This window comes from Homo sapiens, chromosome 10 (genome assembly GCF_000001405.40).
Source record: "Homo sapiens chromosome 10, GRCh38.p14 Primary Assembly".
In the NCBI taxonomy this organism is placed as follows: domain Eukaryota; kingdom Metazoa; phylum Chordata; class Mammalia; order Primates; family Hominidae; genus Homo; species Homo sapiens.
Window position 1 is genome coordinate 15571327 of NC_000010.11, and position 26942 is coordinate 15598268.

General features: G+C 38.0%; 1 protein-coding gene across 3 annotated transcripts in view, besides 1 other annotated feature; it reads right to left on the minus strand.

Moving 5' to 3' along the window:
* Positions 1-26942, minus strand: part of ITGA8 (integrin subunit alpha 8) — a 205969-nt gene that overhangs the window by 57373 nt on the left and 121654 nt on the right. For 2 of the 3 annotated variants that reach the window (NM_001291494.2, NM_003638.3), the window contains 5 exons: positions 25881-25973; positions 20899-20978; positions 15258-15338; positions 4163-4268; positions 885-1043 (listed from right to left, as the gene is read on the minus strand). In NM_001291494.2, coding sequence (NP_001278423.1) covers positions 885-1043; positions 4163-4268; positions 15258-15338; positions 20899-20978; positions 25881-25973 — 519 coding nt within the window. Of the gene's footprint in view, positions 1-884; positions 1044-4162; positions 4269-9334; positions 9595-15257; positions 15339-20898; positions 20979-25880; positions 25974-26942 lie in introns of those variants that run through there. The other variant, XM_011519752.3, reaches the window with a different exon arrangement.
* Positions 14015-14064: a silencer, noted in NCBI's record as "silent region_2174". NCBI's record gives its function as "represses an Ori minimal core promoter by ATAC-STARR-seq in GM12878 lymphoblastoid cells {active_cell/tissue: GM12878}" and the evidence as "EXISTENCE:reporter gene assay evidence [ECO:0000049][PMID:35858748]".

Here is a 26942-nt window from a genome sequence, read left to right on the forward strand (position 1 = left end):
GCCATTTTTAATAGAGACACTGTGTCCTGGTAGCTACTAGGAGAACGTTCGTTCTTACATGAAGTTATCTCCTAAGGACAATATCTGACTACAAGATGTTGTTGTCTTTTGTTTTTCTTTATACAAATGTGGCATTTTCAAGGGCTTATGCTAATTAATTTCTTTCTTTCACAGAAAAACATGAAAGCCAAATTTGGATGTTAATCTGGATGGGATCAGCTCCTTACTCCTTGTTTGTGAAAGTCAGGCCCACAGACTGGCATCAGGCACAGGAGGTGGGTGCTTGCAGAGAGGCAGAATCTCAGGTCCAACCCCAGCCCCTGCATTTTAACAGACAGCCAGGTGATTCAGAGGAAGTTTGAAAAGCACGGCTCTAGGCTTTAAGCTTCAATTAAAGAATAGGGTCCAGAACATTCCTTTCTGGGAGTTCTCATGGCCCTTGGCAAATTGCCACGGTTCACCACTTGCTATGGGCTGCAGCTGGAAGAGCCTCTTTTGGCAAAGATCCTTACGAAATTTGGCAATAGACCAAAAAGACTTTAAAAATAGCATTTTATACTAATTCTCCCAGATGTGATATGTCTATTTATGATTTTGGTTTGGATGTGCTGCTAATTGAGCCAAAAATAAAAGGTGCCTATTAAAATGGGTGAAATAAATGACAAGTCACCATAAGCAACAAAACAAAAAGAAATTTAAATTTGCTAGAAGGGATATTTTAAATTAGGCTTGGTGTTTTAACTATAAAATGAAAAGTTCTGATCAATGATCACTGAAGCAACTTAAAACGATTTCACTCTTCTTTTTTAAACAAGCCCAGTTTGTATTTTTTTCATACCATAAAAATAAAATCAACAAAGCCACTGATTAGACCAGACTCCTACCTTTATATCCTGTGGATTGATATTAGGATTTGGTTGGCACTGCAGAGGTCCCAGAGTTTGAATATGGAAAATATAGAGAAGAAATTCATCCCGGGCAGAGAAAGGCCAGCCCACCTCCAGGATGGTGTCACTGATGGTACTTGGTCCAATATTGTGCAGCTGTAAACAAGTGACATGTTATCTAATGACCCAGCAGAAGGCAGAGAGATAAAATCAAACTCCATATACTCTATACCCATTTTAGAAAGCATGTATTATTGGTTTTAAGTCATCTGGACTATGACTATGGAAAATAAGAAAATTCAAAGTCGATATGGCAAGAAGCACTCTGAAAGCATCATGGGCTGGTGTTTAGAGAAAACTCTTCAATCTGTGAAGCTCTAAGAGTGGATTTCCTCAGTTGAAGACCATACTACCCTTGTCTGATAACTGTGATGCTGGTTTTAAATTTATGTTAATTTAATCATAGCGCTAGAAATTTTAATTTTGATTTTATGCCTTCAAAACTTAGTGACTGTCTCTTTACATTGAAATCTGCCTCCGCTTTCTTGACTACTGACTGTCAATTGCAACCATATGTGATGTACTCTCTTTCACCCTCTGGAAGAATGTCCATCCATCAAGTGCCAAGGCGGGCCCATGATCACCACAGTTCATTTCGAGTGCGTGTTTCAAAGCTGAGCTCCTTCTGTTTCCATCAGCAGATCTCAAGGCAAGAAAGGCCACATCTCATAAAGAGATGAACATTTTTTAACACGTGAATCCTATACTTGGAGGACACAAAATTGTTTGCCCAAAACACTAAGTGCATTTACATTTATTCCAGTGTTTTAAAAATTTAAAGTCAGCAGGGATTTTCTTCTTTTTCTTTTTTTCTCAGTTCTGAAAATTACAGTGATCTATAAAACAATGGATAATTGCTTTTGCTTATTAGATGGCCTATTTAATTCACCTTATCAAAGAAGCTTGGCAACCATTGATATAGTATATTTTGAGTCACGAGATTAGCAATGTACACAATATTTGATGATTGCTTTTTGCACTACCAGTAGCTACCCTAAACTTTCATGATCCACATTTATGCTAAGATTTGAAGCAGGACTGCCCTGAGAATGATTGGGTCTGAATATATTTTCAAACTTTAAAGTTTCACCATTCTTGAGCAGAAACCAGGACACACAGCTTTATTAAATTATTTGACAGCTTTTTTTTTTTCTTTTTTCCAGTGAGGTTCTTAATCAGAGTGGCCTTGGTGACTGTGTTATCCTTTTGCTATCAAAAGAGCTTAAGGCAAAGCTTTGATCCAGCTTTGGACAAGGCTCCTGAATCTGGGCCACAGGTTGGGCGGATGATGGAGGGTTTCATGCTGATGCTGCCCAGGAGTTGAGGCATCTTCCCTACGTTTGTAAACAGTTCATCACTTTTGAAAAGGCTTTATTGTTAATCTTAGAGGATGTTATTCATGTCCCTTGTAGCTCAAGATGAAAGTCATAGTCAGAATTACTAGATTAGAGGCATGAGTTACATAGGAAAGGAACAGAAGGCATTAATCGAGAAGGAACCTCAAACAGAACGCCTTGGAACATGGTTTTACCAAAATTCCCTGCCTGGTCCCTTGAAAACGAATAGGAATAACTACTCTTTACTGCTAGCATTGACTTTATTTAAAAAAAAAAACAAAAGCAAAAACAGAGCAAAACCAAACAAAAACCTGAATAACTACTAAACTAACCCTTTGCTATATGTTGGTTTCTTTTTAGAAAATTATTTATGTTTGTTTATTTTTTTATTTTTAGAGATTGGCCCTTGCTATGTTGGCCAGGCTGGTCTTGAGCTTCTGGCCTGAAGTGCTTCTCCCACCTCAGCTTCCTAAAGTGCTGGGATTACAGGCTTGAGCCACTGTGCCCAGCCATATATGTTGGCTTCTAACTGAAAAAAGCTTAAATGTTTCAGGTGATGGGTCAACAGATCCTCTCCCTGTTCACAACTTAATGCCTGAAATGGGAAAAGAACATCAGCTCCTTTTTATGCATCACTGGTTCACTTCTGGAAAATATTTTACTAATCAGTGAACTATTTAAAAATCTCAGAATAAGATATTCATTTCCAATTTGGGTTCTTTGGATGAAAAGTAAAATTATTTTTATCTATGTACCATCTACCCATCTCATATATTATATGTGCTTTTATTTCATTTTAGAGACAGAGTCTCACTCTGTCGCCAGGCTGGAGTGCGGTGGCACGATCTCGGCTCACTGCAACCTCTGCCTCCCAGGTTCAAGCGATTCTCCTCCCTCAGCCTTTCGAGTAGCTGGGACTACAGGCTCACGCCACCAAGCCCAGCTAATTTTTGTATTTTTAGTAGGGATGGGGTTTGACCATGTTGGCCAGGATGGTCTTGATCTCTTGACCTCATGATCCGCCTGCCTTGGCCTCCCGAAGTGCTGGGATTACAGGCGTGAGCCACCACACCCGGGCGCTTTTATATATATGTATATATATATTTTTTTTTTAGCACAATAATGAATAGTTCTTATTGTTTTCTGTCTGGTACCTTCTAGTTGGTGACATTCAGTTTAAAAGATGAGTGGGTAACCTTCAGTTTAAAAGATATAAACATATCTGAAATATAGGAAAAAATGAAGTAATGTCTAGGAAGCTAGCCATTTTTATGTCTAGGTTGTCCAAATATTTAAAAAAATGGAAATAATTAAAAACAACAATGACAACAACAATAGTAACAAGATAAAGTGTTTTCACTATGTAATGGCTTTCCTACTAAGGAACAAGTGATTATATCCAGTATTACTCAACCGAACACCCACTACACCCCACTGCAGTATGAGAGCATAACAGCATGAACCTAGGCAGTATATACAGCTCGGAACTTGGGTTGATGTCCTTTAAAATGCTATCTACTGTAGTTATAGCACTGTGAGTGGCTCAGGTGGGTGGATCACTTGAGCTCAGGAGCTTGAGACTAGCCTGGGCAACATGGCAAAACCCCGTCTCTAGAAAAAAATACAAAAATTAGCCAGGTGTGGTGGTGTGTACCTGTAGTCCCAGCTACTCAGGAAGCTGAGATGGGAGGATTGTTTGAGCCCAGAAAGTCGAGGCTGCAGTGAGCTGTGATTGCACCACTGCACTCCAGCCTGGGAGACACAGCGAGATCCTGTCTCAATAATAATAATGATAATGATAATAATGCTACATAGAATTTATTTGCACAGAGCTTAAGAATAAACCCCTAACACAACTTTAACACAGACAATGGCTACCTCATAAATATGTTCCACCAATGGTCCAACCTCCTCCTCTTTGTGGGGCTCCTCTTCTGGTTCCCAGTTATGAATGGGCAGAACAATCTGCGGAGGGTGTGACACTCTGAAACATGAAATGTCCTGTTAATTGTTAGCAATGGCCCAGGTAAAGAATGTTTTACTAGTGGACAGTATACTAACAGAAGCAGAAGAAAGTGGTTTTCAATTTATTTGAGTAGATACTCCCTACAGGGAAAAATATTGAAAGTGATGTACAGTAGAATGACTACAGTGACAGTGAAGGATCTGAAACTGCTAGTGTAGGCTCTCCAGCCCAGAGGGCAACTATTTTATAGCATCTCATCTCGTGGGCACTAAAGAAGAGAGTGGAGAGTGTTCCTGAGTTGAGATGAATAACCAAACTTATACATATATAAATATATACATCCATCTATTTCACATGTGAGAACGTGTGTGTGTGTGTGTGTGTGTGAGTGTGTGTGTGTGTGTGTATGGGTTATTTAATCCCTGCTTTAAGTCATATCAAGAAATGGGATTCTTTTTTGCAGATAAAAAAAAGTCTAGGATGCCGTGTGTTGTGTTAAATGTCCAGTTATGAAGAAATATAGTTTCTTGTTGAAGGCATCAGAGTGGAAGAGTGGTCATTGTATATTCCTCCTTTCTATATTTCTTTGGCTTCCTGGGAAAGCCAGCCCCAGAGCCAGAACAAAATAAAGTGTGATAGAGTTATAGAGTGGTCTTATAGATATCTCAAGTGTGAGAGAGAGACAGAGAGTTAAATGGTGTAATCCAGGAGTAGGATATTAACTTGACATATGATTATTTTTTCCTGCAACGTACACCTAGAAAATGAGCATTGGATAAATGACATATAACACATGGCATTATTTTATATAAAAAGCTGATTACAAACTAAATTATTATTTTTATAAAATCTTAAGAAGGGTAGTCCTCAAAACAAACCAATGTTTTCTAGCAGTTTTTAGGTAAAACATGTCTTTAAAAGAATTCGTAGACTTTCAACTGAAAGTAACCTCAACAGAAAACATCTCTTTTGGCAATCAGATGTCATAGGGCCCTTTTAAAGGTATCCAATAATTAACATGGCCTCTGGCAACTTCAAATGTTAGCAAAATTTATTGGGTTATATTCTTACTCTAGGGCAAGTAATTTAATTTCTGTATATCTCTCTTTCTTCATCTGGAAAATTATGATAAACTCTTTGGTTTGTGTACCACAAATGTTCGGAAAACATCTCAAATGCTTTTGGTCAAAGTTAATTTGGCTGCATTGTTTTCTAGGAATGAGTACATTTTAAAAACAGACAACCCACAGAAATGTTGCTAAATTGCATAGCTCTTTGCATATGTCCTTACTGTGCAATGTTAAGAAGAACAGGGCACAACTTTGCTGGGCTGATACCACAGACATTTCTGCGTTTATATTGGTTTGTCATTATGCTATGTTCCCTTTTCTGACTTGGTTTGATTAAATCATGACAGGCTTCTGTCATCAGAGAGAAGCCCAGAGAACCTGGGTTTCTATACCAGTCTTGACAGTCTCCAAACCCAAAGCTGGCGTTTGCTTTCAGCTTGGCAACAGAGAGTTGAGTTCGTGTTCACTATCCATTGTCCATTGTGAGGTTCTAGGGAAACTTTTATTTATTTATTTATTTGCATAGAGAACAAACATAGCACAGAAGCTGAACACATTTTCTCTGAAAACTTTTGTTTTTATGGTCATCAGTCCACAGGACTGGCCATAAATTCCCTAGGATCATAGAATCATATGTATTTGAATCTTGACAAGTACTATGGAGATGATATCGTCAAAACCCTTCATTTTATACATGAAAGGAAGACTGTTGTACACAGGAGTAGAGGGTTAGTTGCAGGTGAGATCTAGAGCTCAGATCCTAAGTACCATCTACTCTATTTCTAATATAAAATGCACCATGGGGGCTCCTAAGCTGCAGTGGTATTTAGTGAAGACGACTTAAACTTCCTGGCACAGTTCTGTAACAAAAAATCAAATAGAAGTCTATGAAGAAATATATAATCTATCAAAACATCATGTCAAAATCATTTAAAAAGCATGGCTCACAAAATTCAGTTATTTACCCACCGAAGACTACTTCAAATCCAGGGAAACCATGGTAAACAATGGTTCTCTAAAGATCTCAACTAAATCAGTGAAACAGTGTTCATGGTTTTCAAAGTAAATTTTTTAGAAAGAAGGAAGAAATCAAGCAAGCAACACAGAATATATTGAACTAATTTGCCTAGGATAAACAGCCAGTGTGGTCATCTTACGACCCTCACTGCATAGCCTTCCGTCCTAAGATGGAAGATAGAACGTTATCCCAGTAAGACCCTCAGATAAGAAGAAGACTGGGGTACTGTTAATGGTAACAATAAACATGAGAAATGAATTTTGGGAGAAGCAAGGAATTAGTTTTTTTAAAATTAAACCTTATTTTGAGATAATTGTAGATTCATATGTAGTTGTAAGAAATAACTTGGAGAGATTCCATGTACCATTTAGCGGTTTCCCCAATGGTAACAGCTTGCAAAACCAAAATGTGATATTGTATATAATATCAAAACCAGAATATTGTCATTGACATAGTCAAGAACACTTCTATCACCACGAAGATCCCCTTTTACAGGAACGTCCACTTCCCTCTGTCCCTATCTCCTCCATATCTCTTGGCAACCACTAATCTGTTCCTCATTTATATAATTCTGTTATTTCAAGAATGTTATATAATTGGAATCATACAGGATGCAATCTTTTGGGATTGGCTTTTTTGACTCTGCATACTTCCCTGAAGGTCCATCTGTCAATTGTTCATTCCTGTTTATTGTTGAGTGATATTCTATGGGATGGATGTACCATGATTTGTTTAACTATCAACCCATCAAAGGACATTTGGGTTGTTTGCAATTTTTGGCCATTATTAACAAAGCTGCTATTAAGATTAATGTAGGGATTCTTGTGTGAACTTTGGTTTTCATTTCTCTGGAATAAAGGAATTAGGTTTTCAGTAAGTTGAAGTATATACGCAATCAGGAAATTCAAATCTGAGGATTTGGTAGTGTGCTGTGAATCCTGTTTCAAATCCTTGTTTTCAAACCCTATCATTCCCAAATAGCAAAGACTACCATGTATTGTATGGAACAGTCTTAACTGTACCTGCTGTGGATGGTATCCTATGCAAACCTCAGCTGTTCATGTTTGTGGTCTCTCTTAGTACATACCCATTCAATCCTGATTATTTTACAAAATCTGCAATCTTACCACTCTTCATGGACTCAGTGTATGTGGTGCTGTCTCTTGTGGCCAAGTTTACTTCTCACAGACATGTGCTAAACTGATCCTTTGTACCACAAAATGCATACAAATCTGCTTAAAGATGATGTTATCTAGCTTTGAAAGAAATGGAACAATTCTCAGTATTTTTTCCCACCCAAATAAATGAATCCATTTTTGTTTATTTTTTAATTATAAAAAACAGTAGATAAAAAACTGCTTAAAATAATGCATGATAAATTACATCAGAATAAACACCATGGACCAAAAATAAAGTTCCGGGAGACGGAACATGGAAGATTTTCAAACAGTAGCTGTTTGTTCTTTGATGTATTAAACATTGAAACCAATGTTTTGCTGCATATTTGCAGGAAAGAGTTTTACTATGTAAATGGCTAAAAAGGATTTTAGCACAGTCTTAGAGAATAATCTGTGGTCAATTGTTGGACATTAATCTAGCTATTAAAGTAGCTGCTTTCGTATGAGAAACCCAATTTTAATGATCTGTTTTGATTATTGGCAAAAGTGAATAGAAATTTCCTTCTTTTTTTACTGTAAGTAATGACAGTAATATTGAAAATATTAATCTCATAAAATGGATATTGAGAATAAAGACAGTTATATTCAGCCATTAGCTGTCTTGGATTTAGTTATGTCCTAACAAATAGAAACATTTCCCAGTTTTAAATTTATTTTGGAATTAAGAACCAGTTTCAATTTATTTTTGGCTAGAAAAACTAAGATACACTAAGCTTAAAGAAGGAGACAAAAGTTCATATACATTAATTGTAAATTTTGAAAAGATATAAAAATAAGATAGTAGAAAATAATGCTTGTGTTTTTTTCTCTGATTTTTAAAAATAGCAATTTTCTCATCGAGAGAGATAGGAGAATGAAATTAGAAGTCAACAAAAATAAAACATCGAGATTAGCTCCAAATATCTGTAAATCAAACAAGTCACTTCCCATGAGTCAACTCATGACTAAGGAAGAAATCACAAAGAAAACTAGAAAATATTTTGAGCTGAGTTATAACAAAAAAACCCAACTTATAAACATTTCGGTATGCTGCTAAATTTATAGCACTAAATGCTTATATACAAAAAAAGATCTCCAGTCAAGCATAACATTTCTGCACAGAAGAAGTAGAAATGGGAGAGAAAGTCAAATCCAAAGAGAGCACGAGAAAGGATAACAAGAAAAGCTGAAACCAATAAAATAGAAAAGAAAGAAAAAATAAAGAAAACAAAGAAAAATTAATAAAACAAAAAGCAGATTCTTTGAAAAGATCACTAAACTCTAGCCAGACTGATCAGAAAATGTAAAAAAAAAAAAAAAAAAAAAGAGAAAAGGAGAAGATATAAACTGCCAATATCAAGAATGATGGAGAAGGCATCACTAGAAATCCTACAACTATTAAAAGGACAATGAGAGAATATTGTGAACAACTTTATGCCAATACATGTAACAACTTAGATGAAATAGACAAATTCCTTTAATGAGAAACTACCAAAGCCCATTTAAATAGAAATAGATATTATAAATAGCCTTACATCTAAGAATGAAGTTGACTTGTTCAAAACCTTCGTACAAAAAAATCCCCACAAAACCCTCCAGATCATTTTACGGAGCTAGCATTCACCTGATACCCAAATCAGAAAAAGATATTGCGAGAAAGGAAAACTACAGATCAGTACTTCTTACGAACGTAGATGTAAAAGTCACTAACAAAATTTTAGCAAGTCGAATCCCAGAGTATCTAAAAAGGATAATCATCAACACTAAATGTGTTTATTCTCCAGAATGCAAGATTGGTTTAAAATTCAAAACCAAAAATTAATCAATTCACCACTTTAATGAATAAAAAAGAAAAACAATTTAATCATCTTCATATGTACAGAATAAGCATTTGAAAAAAACTAAACATACATTCATGTTAAAAATTCTTAAGTAGAAATAAGATAGAACATCCTCAACTTGATAAAGGGTGTCCACAAAATCCCTGCAGCTGGCATCAAACTTGATAGTAAAAGGCTGAATGGTTTTCTTGTAAAATTGAACAAGGCAAGGATGTCTCTTTTTACCGCTTCTATTGATCATGCACTGGTGGTTCTAGTCTATGCAATAAGGGAAGAAAAAAAATGAAAGGCATAAGTATGTAACAAATAATTTAACCTTGTCCAAGAAGAGGTCTGGCCTTTGCCCTCAGCTTCTGGGGGGTAATGAGTAAGCTCTTGGAATTTTATGCCTGATAGGAATATCTTTGTTTGCCTGGGGCCTTGAATCACAATGGATATCCTAACACTATGATTTAGAGTAGGGGTTGTTAATACCAGAAAGACCAACAATGTGATATAGAGTGGAAGCTTTGGTCACATCATATCAATCAACTTGGAGACTGAGATCAATTACATGGGCAGATGATCAATCATGCCTATGTCATAGAACCCCAGTAAAAACTCTGACCACTGAGGCTTGGGTGAGCTTCCCTGGTAGGTGATACTCCAAGCCTATTATCACATGTCAATAGCAGAAAAGTAACATCCCTTAACTCCACAGGGGAGAAGGATGGAAACCCTGTGTTTGGTCCTTTTCCAGATTCCACAGTGTGTATTTCTTCCCTTGGCTGATTTTAATGTCTCTTCTCCCTGTAATAATCTCTGTAAGTGTAATAGCTTTCAATGAGTTCTGTGTACTTCTACTGAAGTTTTGACCCTGAGGGTGGTTTTGGGAATCACCTGAATCTGCAGTTGGCATGAAAAAGGCAGGTAATCTCGTGTGGGGACTGTCCCCTCTAACTTTATAATTGGATAAACTTTTACATATGCAGATGGGAAAATAACAAAAAAGTCTTTATTTGCAGACAACATAGTTTTATAGAAGATACTAGGAAATGTGCAAACAAAAAACTACTGGAATTTACAAATGAATTTGTCAAAATCTCAGGATACACTCCTACATTTCAAGCCTTATTATTATATAGATTAGAAAGATGTGCATACATACATACATACATCAATAGAAGAGAATAGCAAATCCAGAAATAGACTCTCACATATAATAATGGATTTTCAACAAAGGTGCCAAAGTAATTCAGTGGGGGGAAAAATGGTTTTTTCAACAAATGGCACTAGGTATTCATGTGTAAAAGTGGGCCAGGTACGGTGGCTCATGCCTGTAATCCTAGCACTTTGGGAGGGTGAGGCAGGAAGATTGCTTGAGGCCAGGAGTTCAAGACCAGCTTGGGCAACACAGTGGGACCTCATCTCCACAAAACGTTTAAACATTAACTCAGCATGGTGGCGCATGCCAGTAGTCCCAGCTACTTGGGAGGCTGTGGTGGGAGGATCACTTGAGCTCAGGAGTTGGAGGCTGCAGTGAGCTTTGATTGTGCCACTGCACTCCAGCCTGGGAGATAGAGTGAGACCCTGTCTCAAAAAAAAGAAGAAAAGAAGAAAAAGAACCTTGGCCCTCACCTCACACCAGATACAATTAGCTTATAATTATAGATCCAAGTGTAAAAGCTGAAATTATACAACTCCTAGAAGAAAATACAGGTGAAAATCTTTGTGACTTTGGAACAGTATTATTTCAAATTAGGACACAAAGAACACAAAACATTAAAAAATCAACTGGATTTCATCAAACTTTTGCTTCTTGAACATCACTATTAAGGAAATATAAAACCAAACTATAGACTGGGAGAAAATAATCGCGGGACACATATTTGGTAAATGGCTTTGTATACAGAATTTATAAAGAACTTCTACAACTCGATAATAAGGAGACAGAAAACCCAGTAATAAATGGGTAGAAGATTTGAAGGGATACTTCACCAAAAATGAGATATTGATGGCAAATAAGCACTGAAAAGATGCCCAATGTAACTGGTCATTAAGCAAATGAAAACTAAAAACTCAGTGGAACACTATAGGCTTACTAGAATGACTAAATACAAACCAACATAAAGCACATGCTGGCAAAAATGGTGCATGACTGCAACTCTCATGCATGGTTGGTGGGAATGAAGAATGGAAACAGTATAGCCTTTCTGGAAAACAGTTGCACAGTTTCTTATAAACATACACATATCATACAACTCGGTAATTCCATTTGTGAAAACAAATGTTCCAACAAAGACCTGCACATGAATACTTATAGCAGCTTTATTCTTCATAGCTCAAACTGGAGACAATTCAAATGTTCACCAATGAGTGAATGGATGAACAATTCACTGGACATCCATCCATACAATGGAATACTTCTCAGCAGTAAAAAGAAACCATCATAGCAAAGACTTGGAACCAACTGAAATGCCCATCCAGATAGACTGGATAAAGAAAATGTGGCACATATACAATGTGGAATACTATGCAGCCATAAAAAAGGATGAGTTCATGTCTTTTGCAGGGACATGGATGAAACTGGAAACCATCATTCTCAGCAAACTAACACAGGAACAGAAAACCAAACACCACATGTTCTCACTCATAAGTGGGAGTTGAACAATGAGAGCACGTGGACAACAGGGAGGGGAACATCACACAGCGGGGCCTACTGGGGGATGGGGGGCTAGGGAAGGGATAGCATTAGGAGAAATACCTAATGTAGATGATGGGTTGATGAGTGCAGCAAACCATCATGGCACTTGTATACCTATGTAACAAACCTGCACGTTCTGCACAGGTACCCCAGAACTTAAAGTATAATAATAAAAAAGTATATATATAAAAAGAAACTGTCTACTGATACATTCAAGAACACAGATGTTTCTCAAGTGCGTTAGGTTAGGTGGAAGAAGCCAGCACCATTCCCAATGACTTGCATAACATTATAGATCATTCCGGAAAAAGGCAAAACTATAGTGACAGAAAATAGGCCAAGCTTGCCAGGGTCTCGGGGTGGGGAAGGGTTGGCTATAAAGTAGTCCAAAATAACTATGTGGAGTGATGGTACTGTTCTATATTGTATGTTCTTTTGATGTCATAACTTCTTCAACTGGACACCTAAAAAGGATGAATTTTACTTTATGTAATTTACATTCCAATAAATCTGACTTTTCAAAAACCCCACAAACTCCATAAACTGTTGAAAGATATTGGTAATCTTTGTAACTGATAAAGGATTAGTGACTAAACTCTAGAATAGAAAAGAATTTCTATACACTAATGAAAAAAAGTCAACTCTTTTAGTAGCACTATGTGTAAAAAAGGCTGGGTGTGATGGCTCATGCCTGTAATCCCAGCACTTTGGGAGACCAAGGCAGGTGGATCACCTGAGGTACAGAGTTCGAGACCAGCCTGGCCAACATGGTGAAACCCCTTCTCTATTAAAAATACAAAAATTAGCTGGGCATGGTAGCAGGTGCCTGTAATCTCAGCCACTTGGGAGGCTGAGGTAGGAGAATCACTCGAACCCTGGAGGGAGAGGTTGCAGTGAGCTGAGATCATGCCACTGCACTCCAGCCTGGGTGATGCAGCGAGACTGTCAAGAAAAAGAAAAGAAAAGAAAAGAAAAGAAATATGTGCAAAAAATTGAACAAGAATTTCTCTGCACAGGAAGAATAAAGAGTCAACAAAGATTAAAAAGCTGCTGAATCTCATTTAGGAATCAGGGGACCGCAAGTTAAACCTTCAGTAAGGTACCATTTCTTGTCCACCAGACTGGCTCAAAAACCAGATCATGTTGAGAGTTAGCTGATAGTGTGGGATAACAGAAACTTCACCCACTTCTCACAGGAGTGTAATTTGGCATAAGTATTTTGAAAAAGAGTTTGATATTATGTAGTAAAGTTAAATAGAGCATACTCTCTGATCCTGAATTTCCACTTCTAAGTATATCCTCTGCTGACATTCTTCCCCCTGTGTACTGGAAGATATGTACAAAAAACAATTGCAAAAAGGAAAATAATAAAAGCCCTGCATTTTCATCCAGAGTAGAATAGATAAATAAATTATGGTATATTTTGGCCGAGCATGGTGGCTAAGGCCTGTAATAATCCTAGCACTTTGGGAGGCTGAGGTAGGCAGATTCACCTGAGGTCAGGAGTTTGAGACCAGCCTGGCCAACATGGTGAAACCCTGTCTCTACTAAAAATACAAAAATTAGCCGGGCGTGGTGCATGCCTGTAATCCCAGCTACTGAGGAGGCTGAGGCCCGAGAATCACTTGAACCCAGGAGGTGGAGGTTGCAGTGAGCCGAGATCAGCCTGGGTGACAGAGTGAGACCCAGTCTCAAAGTAAAATAAGATAAACGATGGTATAGTTTTACAGTGTAACACTCAGGCAGTTGACATGAGTGAATTACAGGCACGTGCACTAAAATGAATCTCAAAAACATTGGTTTGAATGGAAAAAAATTAGAAACATACATAAAATACGATTTTATGTAGATAAGTTTCAAAAAACTATATCCCAGGCAGGATAGCATGATCATTTCTGAGCATGAGCTCTGGAGACAGTTGCCTATATTTACATTCTGGCATTTTCTAGTTTAACCTTCAACTCCTTGTGCCGCAATTCCCTCACCTGTACAAGGAGGATACTAGTTCATTTATAAGATGGGCTAACTTGGAGTAGCACCCAGAAGGGAACAGTGTATGTTAGACATTGCTATTATTCTCTAATCCGCTAGGGGGCGCCCCAGCGGCACCAGGACAGCAGGGCAGGACCCATGGCAGCACTGGCTCTGCCTGCTGAAATACCAGCTGTCATCATCGAAGCTTGTAAACCACCGTGGAAAAGGAAGGAAACCAGCATTCTGGAACCCCAGTGACAACTTGGTCCAAAATACCAGTTGACATTTTTAGCCAAATCCATGATTGTTCTGAAAAACCAGAATCATCAGAAAAAAATCAATGAAGTCCAATTTCATGCAAGATAAGAACTACACACAACCCATTTCTGATTTCTTTTTCCCCCAGGCATGGATTTTGCAGCTGGTAGTCATTTCCTTGACCCTTTTCCCCCGTCTCTCAGTTGATTGCTTATTGGCACCTTCCTTAAAGAATAGGACCAAAGAAAAAAGATGTAAAATATAGATCCAATCGACCCTTGCATCTGAGAGTTAGTCATTTATTAAACTCCAGATGTGGTGTGGTAAGGCTAAAAAGTCATTACGCTAAAATAATTATTGGAGAATTGAGATTTTTTTTCAGGGAATCACATGGTTGTCTATTTTATCTGGCTTCTTATCAGCTGGTTTTTATAGTTTGATTACTGCACTGTCAATTTGGGGAATAAAGTGATTTTTTTTTTTTTTTTTTTTTTTTTTGAGATGGAGTTTCACTCTTGTCACCCAGGCTGGAGTGCAATGGCACGATCTTGGCTCACTGCAACCTCTGCCTCCCGGGTTCAAGTGATTCTCCTGCCTCAGCCTCCTGAGTAGCTGGGATTACAGGTACCCACAACCACGCCTGGCTAATTTTTGTATTTTTAGGAGAGACAGGGTTTCACGATGTTGGCTAGGCTGGTCTCAAACTCCTGACCTCAGGTGATCTGCTCACTTTGGCCTCCCAAAGTGCTGGGAGTATAGGCATGAGCCACCGCGCCTGGCATAAAGTGATTTCTTGTTTTGATATTCTTGGAGTTAATTGTTATTTAGGGTTTACTCTGCTTTCCAATGGAAGGCTAATAACGATCAGTAGAAAAGAGTGAAAATTAATATCCAAAATGAACTGTGATCTCTAATGCATCAGGAAAATTCCACATCATTTTCACTAGTATTTTATCTTAACTCTACATACAGAAGGATATTGTACTATGCATTGCTTACTACTTACCCTCTTATTTCCACCTGCGCTACAGCAGTGATGTTGATTTGCAGGCTCACAAAATTGCTGTCTGGATTGTCCTTGTTGGAACTAAAACACAAGGACATGTGATTTAAATCTATCTGCTCAGGAGTATTATTACAATATATGATCATAAAAAACATTCTACATATCACAGGAGAACACACGTTACTAACCTGATCATTCAGGATACAAGTGTATTCATTCTCCAAAATCGTAACCATTTGTACAGAGAAATGCTAAGATCTTTTATGATCAATAGTAATGTAACAACTGTCTATGAAGAGACACTTTATCTGGAAATACAATAGATATCTAAAGAAACTAACACTTTTTTTTTTTTTTTGAGACGGAGTCTCCCTCTGTTGCGAGGCTGGAGTACAGTAGCCCAATATCAGCTCACTGCAACCTCTGCCTCCCCAATTCAAGTGATTCTCCTGCCTCAGCCTCCCAAGTAGCTGAGACTACAGGCGTGTGCCACCACACCCAGCTAATTTTTGTGTTTTTAGTAAAGACGGGGTTTCACCATGTTGGCCAGGATGGTCTCTATCTCTTGACCTCATGATCTGCCCACCTCAGCCTCCCAAAGTGCTGGGATTACAGGCGTGAGCCACCCCGCCCAGCCAAAACTAACACTTTTTTAAATGGCTAAACCAAAAATGTATTGAACTGAGCTCATTTTGCAGCTTCTACCTTTGACAAATTCCTTAACATCTCTGCGCATATCATGTTCATTGCCCATTAAATAGGAAGTAACAACACAGCCAACTCCTGATTTTCCTTGCTAATAAAGAGAAGAACTGGCATGAATAATGCAGAGAAATACATAATCGAAACAGCATTTGTGTTTGGCTCTGGGATGCATCATACCATGCACTGGCTTGGCAGCAATTTCATCTTCCTAACGGTTTATTTCTTCAGTTAGTATTAAAATAAGCATATATTCACTGCATACTCACCAGCTAACTAGGACAAGGAGTTGGAGGGTATTTTAAAAGACCAGTTTAAATAACACACTTTTCATTACCCACAATACCCTGAATATAGACCCAAGGAAGTTGGCCAGTTCATAAACAGGCAATTAGGAGATGACATGGATATTTACAAAATGCATTAAGAGTGTCTAGATAGAAGGTGTGTGTTTAACAACATTTCTTTGAACAGTGGCAAAATTATTTTTTAAGTTTGCTGGGGTTTTTTCTCTCCAGCAAATATAATTAGATATGAAACAACTTTTAAAAATGCATGGGTTTCAAAATGTGTGTGCTATAAGGAAAATAAAACGTACTTCACAAAGAGGCTCAACCAGTAACTGAGTTTTGGAGGTAGCTTCCATCTGAATTTTATAATCCTATTATGCTTTTACTGAAGTCACTAAAAACTTAGGCAGCTTTTAGCAAACCGAGACACAGCCACATCACCACTAACAGGTCATGTTTATATTCAGGTGTCATTAGGAAGAGAAGGCCTCCTCTTTTTTCATCATCAAACCTCACTCTGATTCGATGGACAAGCTCTAGCACCAAGATGATGGTAATGCGGTAGGTTGTGACTAGCTTTTGAAGCTTTCCAAATGCGAGAGCTGGAAAGGATATGATAAAATTCTGCTTTCAAAGCAGGAGGCGGCAGAATTGTTCCCATGATGCTTTTGAAAAGTCCTGGCCGATTGTATATAATGATAAGACAACTTAAACTGCAACCACACATAAAAGATATAAACAGGCAAATGTCAGGCTCATTTCCTGGAATGGAGCATCGCCACTAAACCCATGACCGAGCTTAAGGGACTTGTTCACCAGAGGCTGAACCCCAGTTTCCAGGCCATTTTATTAAGATCACATCTGGGATCAGTCAACTAAACAAATGTGTGTGTGTGTTTTTAAGGCAGTGTTCTGAATTCTAACCATTAAGAAGTAATTAAGTAATTTTACTTATTGTAGACTTTATGGTTCCAAATATATTATGGGTAATTCTTCAGTTTGGAAATTTAAATATATTTGTGCCACAGATTAACCAGACTTTTTTCTATTTCTAGTTCACTACTGCTTGGCAGCCGTGGAAATTAGAATTACGAAAAAACAAAGTTTCATTTAAGTTATTGCATAATTCTATTGTATTTTCTTCCCAAGTGGTTTCAATAACACAGTTTTCATTACCCACAATACTCTGAGTATGTAAATAGACATTGAACATTGAAATCATCCTTGAAAACAATCTAACATGAGGCTTTTAGAGGCTGTTTTGAAATGCAGCAGGAACAGCAGCAAACTCTGAGTCCAGACCTTCTGGTCGGCTAATCAAAATCATCTTTTGTCACACAGACTTGCCATGACACTTGCTACTGCATACTAGCGGTGTCAGCAATATCTCTTGTAAGAAAGGAACCAGGCTTGAGAAATAACTTGGATGCTTCCTTGACCTCTTTCCTGAAAGGAAAGCTCCCTCACTAATACCGCTGCTACATCCAAACAAGCCATCCATCACCGCCATGGAAGCTGAACTATTTAAACTGTTGGTGCTGGTTCTACACAAGGAATGATGAATTTCCTCTCTACAACTGCACCCTATGTTATATACTATGGATAGACATGTTTTTCACTTTATTACTCCAATGCTATTTTCTTTTTCCTTACTATTTCCTATTTCCTGCATTCTAACATTCCCTCTATGCTTTCTGTGGTCTTTGGAATGTCAGCAAAGATAACACAGTATTCATCTCACCATTACTAAGGAAGAAACTCTGAGGACAGTCACCAAGACCTGTTTGTATGTGGCAATTGCAATCTGAGACCCGTTGTACACAGGGAGGAAAATGTTTATGTCGTGTAGAGTGAGGGCATGGAGAGACCGCTTAATGCAAATATTTGGTAACAGGAAATATTTTAAGTTTATTAACATATAAAGCCCATTTCTCTCTTGACTTCTATTTGTGGAAAAGGGATTCATTAAATGCAGGTCATGGCAGTCAATATATGCCTGTAAGAGTTTAGACTTCAGAACATTTGGTTTAATTTATTTTTGGCTTAAACACATTTAAACCAAATGCAAAACCATCCATTTAGATCCTTATTTACAGCTTTGGAGTCAGCCAGCAAAGCATGCAGATAAATGCTCACCTCTCAAATACCCTAGTAATTGAGTTTTTACAGTGTTTTACTCAAACGCTGTATTTTTTTTTTTTTTTTGAGATGGGGTCTCACTCTATCACCCTGACTGGAGTGCAGTGGCGCAATCTTGACTCGCTGCAACCTCTGCCTGCCAGGTTCAAGTGATTCCCCTGCCTCAGCCTCCAGAGAAGCTGGGACTACAGGCGTGCACCACCACACCCAGCTAATTTTTGTACTTTTAGTAGAGAAAAGGTTTCACCATGTTGGCTAGGCTGGTCTCGAACTCCTGACCTCAAGTGATCCACCCACCTCGGACTCCCAAAATGCTGGGATTACAGGCGTGAGCCACTGTGCCCAGCCTCAAACACTGTATTCTTGCTTTTATATGTATAATACATGTTTTGGGAATTTAATGCTGTATGTATATTCCAGTTCTTTCTGCATTTCTGCATCTTTATATTTTTTAAGGGTAATGTTAAAATAGTCCTGAGTAGAAATGGAATGTAATCAGTCATGACCCTTTGTTTTAGATGAAGGGGAATGTTAAAAACGTGGCCACTTCTACTTTACAGCAAATTCGGCACTTCATTACTGAATTCATTATTTCAATGATGATCTACAGGATGGACTCGGGGAAGCCATCTAGAACACTACCTTGTGTCTTTTGCTTCTTAGATGAACTAGTAATTGCATCCATTCTCTTTTGTAACTTCAACCAAGAGCGAGGAGGAAATATCAATGAATTTGCTTTGTACCAGACTTCTTTTCTATATAAAGGTTGTGTATTTTATGAGAGATGTATCTTTCCACAGGTGACACAAAGCTTCATGTCACTGGAGGATCAATGGCACAGACAATGATGCAGAGGAATAGAAACTTCAGGTTACTGTCTGGAGGGATGGTGGTCCTTTGCCATGACGTGTTTTGTTTGTTTTTGTTTTTTTTCTTAAGATACTTAGAAATATCAACAGAAGATTTCCAAAATAAAAATATTTAGGGCTACCTAAACCTTTGATATATTTTTACAGATACAAAGAAATGATTTAACATGCTTTTGGTAAAATGAAGGAATATTACAGAAGAATTTATTCCATCTGTATCCCATCACTAAATTTTATCCAGATTTTAAGAACCTAAAATTCAGCAGAAAATGTCTAAGTTAAATTCAAGAAAGATTTCATTAAGGTCAGAAATGAACAGCTCAAGTAAGTTGAGAAAACCTTCCTCTCTAGAAATCTATACAAAGTTTGGGGTGGGAGAATAATTTGTGACATGGGTTGTGGATTTTTAAAATCTGCTACATTCTTACAGAGTTTATATATTTTTAAAAAATCCTAAGCCTTTTATTGAAGTAGCTATTTAAAAATTAATCCATTGCATGGAGTCATTATTCTAAAAGTTATCACACTCTAATGGTACTTCTTGCAAGATATTAAGATAAACTTAGAAATTAACCATCTTGCACACTAGTATTTGAGACTCAAATTGTGGATACTGACTTCATATTCATTTAATAGTTAGAGCAAGGGTTCAACATGCCAGGCAAGGTATAAATAAATATAGAAGGCTTTCATGTCCTGTTTACATCAGAGATTTTCAAACTTTTTAAGCTGCAGACCACAAAAAATACATACATCTCACTAGACATCTTACTACACATATTTATACTTACTGAAAGGAATATTTCATGAGCTGTATTAATATATATTATATTATATTATATTATATTATATTATATTATATTATATGTTACTTTCCATTCAATTTCCTTTTAATGTGGATCTAGAGCCATTAAACTGATTCCATTACCCAGCCAATGGGTTTAAGTTCACAGCTGGGAAGCCCCAGCCCAAATGCCACACTACTACTTTCTTCAGGTCTTCCTGTTCACGAAATATTATTTTCAGCCACAAAGGAGCAGACAGAATAGGTGGTAAGAGGGTAAAGTTACAGCTGAATTCTCAAACAGCATCAGCCTTAGAAAAGAGAGGCAGCTACCTATATGGCTCTGCTTATCATTGCTAGAGAAGGGCTTGCCCTCAAAATGGAGTATCTCACCTGCATCCTGCCACAGTGCGCATAGGTAAGCCATCAGAGATTCATTCATTCTTGAAAATTGAAGAGACTTCAGGATGGCCATTGCAAAATCTATGCTTTTTCTTTCACAGACTTTGTTCTCAGGGACTAGCTGATGCCCAGCTGAGAGCATGGGAATTAGGGTGGGGAAAGACATGTGCTTTGGAATGAGGAAAAGTGGAAGTAAAGCAGGTGGGAGGGTGCCCAGGACAAAATTTTGCTATCTCATAACTTGGTCTGTATAATTCAATCTCTTTTTCAAAACCCCTAAAATGTTGAAATTACTGAAACAATTGAGAAAAACAAAGAAGAAATGGGCTGTGAAAGTCTGGGTTCTAATTTCAGGTGAGCTTTTAAGGCCAAGGGCCTTGACAGATGACATCATTTCACTGTGGATCTCTTTTCTTTTGACTGCTGTCAACGATATAGGCATGTAAAGGTCTAACCTTCTGATTTGGAGATCGAAGTTAATGCTCATGTTTGTTTTCTCAAGACGTGGAACTGCAAATCGGAGGCCCAGGGAATACTAAAAAATAAAATAAAATCACACAAGAGTAGCTTGTACACAACATAAAAATATTTTGTAAGTCATTCCTGCAAAACCCCACCCTGGATCACTGTAACTCTTTCCTTTGTTCTGCTTCTACCCCAGGTGGCTGAGAGCCAAGAGAAGTCATGCAATGAACTACAGGCCCCAGAAGATTCAGGTCACAGTACAGGTTGGTTCTCTCTCTCCATTTAGTCCTATACTGCCTCTTCTCCTGCCACCTTTTTGTGTGTTAAATTGAAAATAATCCAAATATATGAGAAGACACTGATTGGTTGATTGATTGATTGATTGATTGAGACAGGGTCTCGCTCCGTCACCCAGGCTGGAGTGCATTAGTGCGAGCATGGCTCACTGCAGCCTCAACTTCCCAGGCTCAAGTGATCCTCCTTCCTTAGCCTCCCAAGTAGCAAGGGTCACAGGTGCACACCACCACACCTGGTTAACTTTTTTGTTATTCGTAGAGACAGAGTCTAGTCTGGTCTTGAACTCCTGATTTCACGCAATTCTCCTGCCTTGGCCTCCCAAAGTACTGGGATTACAAGCATGAACCACCACACCTGGCCAGAAATTGACTTAGAAAACTATGATGCTTCTGTTTGATGGACATTTATGTAGTCATTGAAATTATAGCTGTGAAGTCAACGCAACAATATGGAAAATGCTTCTAATGTAATAACAATCAACAATGAGTGAAGGTTACAATGTTTATGTGCAATGCACGTCAGCTATGGTTTTTGGTTTTAAAAGTCTACAAATCGAAAAATTCCTCTACAGTACAGGAGTGCGGATGCGCTATAGGAAAACATTTCAGAATAATATGTTCTAGTTGAGGTTACAGTTACATGGATTACTTTTTCCTTTTAAAGGTTTCCAAATTTTTAAAACTGCTTTTATTATTTTCATAACGTGGAAATAGATAAAAACATGGGGAAAATAAATTCAATGATGATATAAATAAGGAAGTAAAAATAATAGTTAACACATCTGTAATATTATGTTACTTACTCTTCCAAGCACTGTACTATGCCTTACACACATGATCTCATGTAATCCCAAAAAGCACTCTGGGGTAGGAGCTGTTGTTGCTGACATTATACAATTGAGCAGCAACCTGAGGATTAGAGAGATGAAGTACCTTGCTCCAGGTGCATTGCAAATAAATCACAGAGCTAGAATTTAAATCCCTGCAAGCTAACTTTCAAATCTGTTATCACAGCCACTATAGTATCAGAATCAAACCATTAACCAAAACTCATATTCACATGAATCAGTAATAATATGAACGAATAATAAATCATCTCTTTTGTCATAAATCAGCAGCACCAGTTCACCAGCCCTTGCCGAATGTGCTTCGAGCTACGTACTGTCCGAATGGCTTTACATTTGTCATATCATTCATTGCTCCAAACAGTCCTACAGGTAGGTGTTTTCTCATTTCAGTGTGACTTGCTCAAAGTATCACAGCTGGTATAGCTAGTATTTAATGCTAAGGCATTACGCCCCAGCAAAGATTTTTTTTTTTTTTTTTTTTGAGACAGAGTCTTGCTCTCTTGCCCAGGTTGAAGTACAGTGGCACAATCTCAGCTCACTGCAACCTCCACCTCCCAGATTCAAGTGATTCTCCTGCCTCAGCCTCCTGAGTAGCTGGGATTACGGGTGTGTGCCACCACACCCAGCAATTTTTTGTATTTTTAGAAGAGACGGGGTTTCATCTTGTTGGCCAGGCTGGTCTCATACTCCTGACCTCATGATCCGCCCGCCTTGACCTCCCCAAGTGCTGGGGTTACAGGTGTGAGCCAAAGGGCCCGGCCGGATGAATTTTTTTAAAAATTCCAAAGGAGCAATTTTCTGTCAGGCTCTTCTCTCCTTTTTAGAAGCCTTTTAGCTTTTTCTTGCCTTTTCTACTTGAAGAACTGCTAACGCATGCCTGAAATCTTGGGACAGGAGATATCTCCTGCAATACATTCTCTGATTCTATGGGCTGGGCCAGGCAGAATTGTTCTCCTTTTTATTCTCTGTCTCCTTTTTTACCACTCTTCCACCACTCAACTTATGACACTGCTAATTTTGAGTTTCTTATTGAGTGAAGGTTGTATGTTTTTATCTTTATATTGCCGACTCTAGCTTAGAACCTGGCATATAGAAGCAGTGCAATAAAAATTGCCAAAACAGGCTGGGCGTGAGGGTGGCTCACACCTTTAATTCCAGCACTTTGGGAGGCCGAGGTGGGTGGATCACAAGGTCAGGAGTTCAAGACCGGCCTGGCCAACATGGTGAAACCCCATCTCTACTAAAATACAAAAACTAGCTGAGTGTGGTGGTGAGTGCCTGTAATCCCAGCTACTCCGGAGGCTGAGGCAGGAGAATCGCTTGAACCTGGGAGGTGGAGGTTGCAGTGAGCCGAGATTGTGCCATTGCACTCTAGCCAGGGCAATAGAATGAGACTCCATCTCAAAACAAAACAAAAAAAATGCCAAAAGAATGATGAGAGTTTGTTCTTGTTTGCTTATTTCCAGTGATAGAAACCTTATTGTATTGCGATAGAGGCTACCTAATGATGGTTTTCATTATAGAACAATAAGCATGGGACAAAGACCCAATGAAGGTGTGACAATTTCATACTGGTAAGAGGTGCATGTGTCCTTAACTAGTACCAAACACCAGATCTCATGGCATTGATTTTAAAGCGCTCTTATTGACCCCACCGTTTAAAAAAATTTTCCCATGAGAAAATTTGCAACTTGTTATGAATCTTATTGGCATGTAAACATCTTATATTACTATAGCTACTCTATGGAAATGACTTTACTATTTAAAAATCAGAAGTAAAACTTCTGAATACTATCTTGAATATTTTTTTTAAGTTAAAATACCAAGTCACTTGAAAGTGATTTTTAAAAGATAATAGATAGAACTAAACATTCCTGGCAATTTATGTTGCTTTTAAAATCTTTAGCACTGCTTTTCCATTTGGAATTTTACCACAACCCACTGAGAGTATTCTTTGTAGAGTACAAAATGAAGAAGAATATAAATCAAAGTGTTTTATAACAAAACAGAATGCAATAAAATTTGATGTGTTTAAGGGCACTAAAGAATGAGATAAGAAAGCTATTAGGTTTCTTTTACTATAGACCTCAGAGATAAATGAATATAAACAATTTACTTCCCTGACTTCTAAAGACTATTTGCTGGCAAAATGAATTGACATACTTTCACATAAACACATTTGTGATTAAGACCACACTGCCATTTTTCCTCCACTTTGAATGATACTGGTGGCCAGTTTTGTTCCAAGATTATCCTTAGATGACCTCTGGTCTAGCTGTAACACTTCTAATACTGAAAAAGGAACGAGTGGTCCATCATCTACAGATGCTGACACTGTTACTACCACCTCAATTCATTTCTCTTTTGTCTTAGGTAACCCTCTTCATATTAAATTAGGCCATTGAGGCTGGGCTCGGTGGCACACACCTGTAATTCCAGCACTTTCGGAGGCCAAGGCAGGTGGATCACCTGAGGCCAGGAGTTCGAGACCAGCCTGGCCCCCGTCTCTACTAAAAATACAAAATTAGCCGGGCATGTTGGCATGCACCTGTAATCTCAGCTACTCGGGAGGCTGAGCAGGAGAATCACTTGAACCCGGGAGGCAGAGGTTGCGGTGAGCTAAGATCGTGCCATTGCACTTCAGCCTGGGCAACAAGCGTGAAACTCCATCTCAAAATAAAATAAAATAGGCGGTTGGATTTTTCTCAAAAAACTAGCAAAACGATTCATTACCTTCCAGATAAAAGGACTATGATAGTGAAAAATGTTCTAATATCTCAGTGTAAACATCCCATTCTCTCTTTCAATGCTTCATTTTGAAGTCTCATCTGTTATTCATTTGTTTTTTATCCAAGGGCTTTTCACCATGTTGCAGACGGGATAGAACATGGGCTTTGCTGTAAGACTTGGTTTGAATCTTGTTCTAACCTTTACCCTCTGTGAGGCTTTGGCCAATTCATCTGACTTCTCTGAGCTTCAGTTTCCTCATCCATAAAATAAAGAAAATACTTGACTCACAGGGTTGTTTTGAAAATTCAATAAAATAACGTAAAAAACTCCCCTCCTCCCAGCGATGCGTTTATAACCTAGAGGACAATCAATCCATGGTAACCAATAATAATATGTCATGGGAATGTACTTGCCATTGAAATATTTATTTATTTTTGCCCCAAGAAGTGAGCTTACTGTAGTTTCAGCACATTTTTGAATACCCAAGATCAACGCAACATTATAGCATAAAAGAGCAAAAATATCATTCTAGCATAATATTCTAACTTGAGAAAAGTTTCAAATGCTCAAGCAAAAGTATGAAACATCAGGCTAAAAGGTTTATTAACTGAAAGACTTATCAGCATCTTTAAAATGCAAATACGTACCTGAATCTCCCTTGAAAAGGGAATTCTATGGTCACTGTTGAATGTCATGTCCTTCCTTTAATTGCCATTGCTAAAATCTTTGTCCTAATTTGGTTATTTTTAGAGTCTTTAACTTACATTGCATTTCTTTTTGAATTCAAAGAAAAAGTATTTAAAGAAAATATCTATAGTAAAAACAAAGTCTGTATAAAATTGTTGTAACTAAAAGACAGGCAAGAGTAATGTATAAAGAGAAAGCATAGAAGAGCATGCATCTTTCTGTGTTTTTAGCTTGAGACGATTCACTCTGTGTAGGTTATAATGTGAAATCCCACTACTCTGGCAATTTCCTGCCTAATTTGTTGTTGCTGCTAGGTGCTGAGTTGCTGAGTGGTAACTGGAGAGCTTTCCATTTGTTCCCTGTGAAGTCCAGTTAGAAGGAAATCAGTCAGTATTTCTGGTTCTCTCTTACATTTGTTCCAGACACCATAGGGTTCCCAAGGTCACACACCACCATCCTGGTTACATTTTCCATCTTGTACTCACAGCTCAGTGGTCGAAATCCCTACAATTGCAAAGAACAGGGGGTTTAGGGGGCAGGATAAATGACATCCTGACACAAAAGCCATGCTGGGGGCCTGGGAGCTCCCCTGGATCTCAAACACCCAGGAGGGCGATAGTGCAAAAAAAGTAATTGATGACCCTTAACTCAGAAGAGAAAATGGAGAGAGAAAAGTAAAAGTTAAATTTTAGAAATAAATGTGTTGGGTAGGTAAGCATATTTATTGTGTTTCATTAAGGAAGACAATGCATAATATAGTATTTATATAAATAGCTTAGACAATATCTTCACTAAGATTAATGTGAAACTCAGGGCATGAAAATCACAAATTATTAAACATGAGTAAATAAATTTATTCTATTAAGCCTTCCAAAAACAAAATGATCATAATGTGTATAGATTATCATATGATTCAATGACCATTTGCCAGATAATTGCCTTGAACACAAATTTCTATACACCATGGTCCCGTTTTGAGATCATGCAATCGACTTTCTTCTGTTCTTCAGTATTTCAGATGTAAAGAGAATACCTTCATGTTTAGCAGTACTTCCTATTTCCTTTCCTTCCCTTATATCCTATTCCAAGTAGAGTTCATACAAACTGAAGTTAGAAGAGGTTCTTGAAGCTATATACTGGACAAATTCTCAAGGTTGAACAGATGAGAGGGGAAATACAGATTTGTTCTGGAACAGTTGCCCTTGGCTTCCAGCTCCTCTTCATGTCCGCATGCTTTTCCCAGTTGCTCAGAAACCCACCCCTCACTCTCTACCCTATTCTTTTCCCATACCGCAAACCCTATGGTCCCACTCTGCATGCAGCCATAGCTACTTACATTTTTCCATTATTTCAGTCTAACTTGTTATGTGCCATCGATATATTATCCATCACCTTTGTTCCAAAAGGTAAGCTTGCAATATGAGGACTTTCATAAAACAGCAAATTTGGGGGGAATTTCTGTCCCTGTGATAG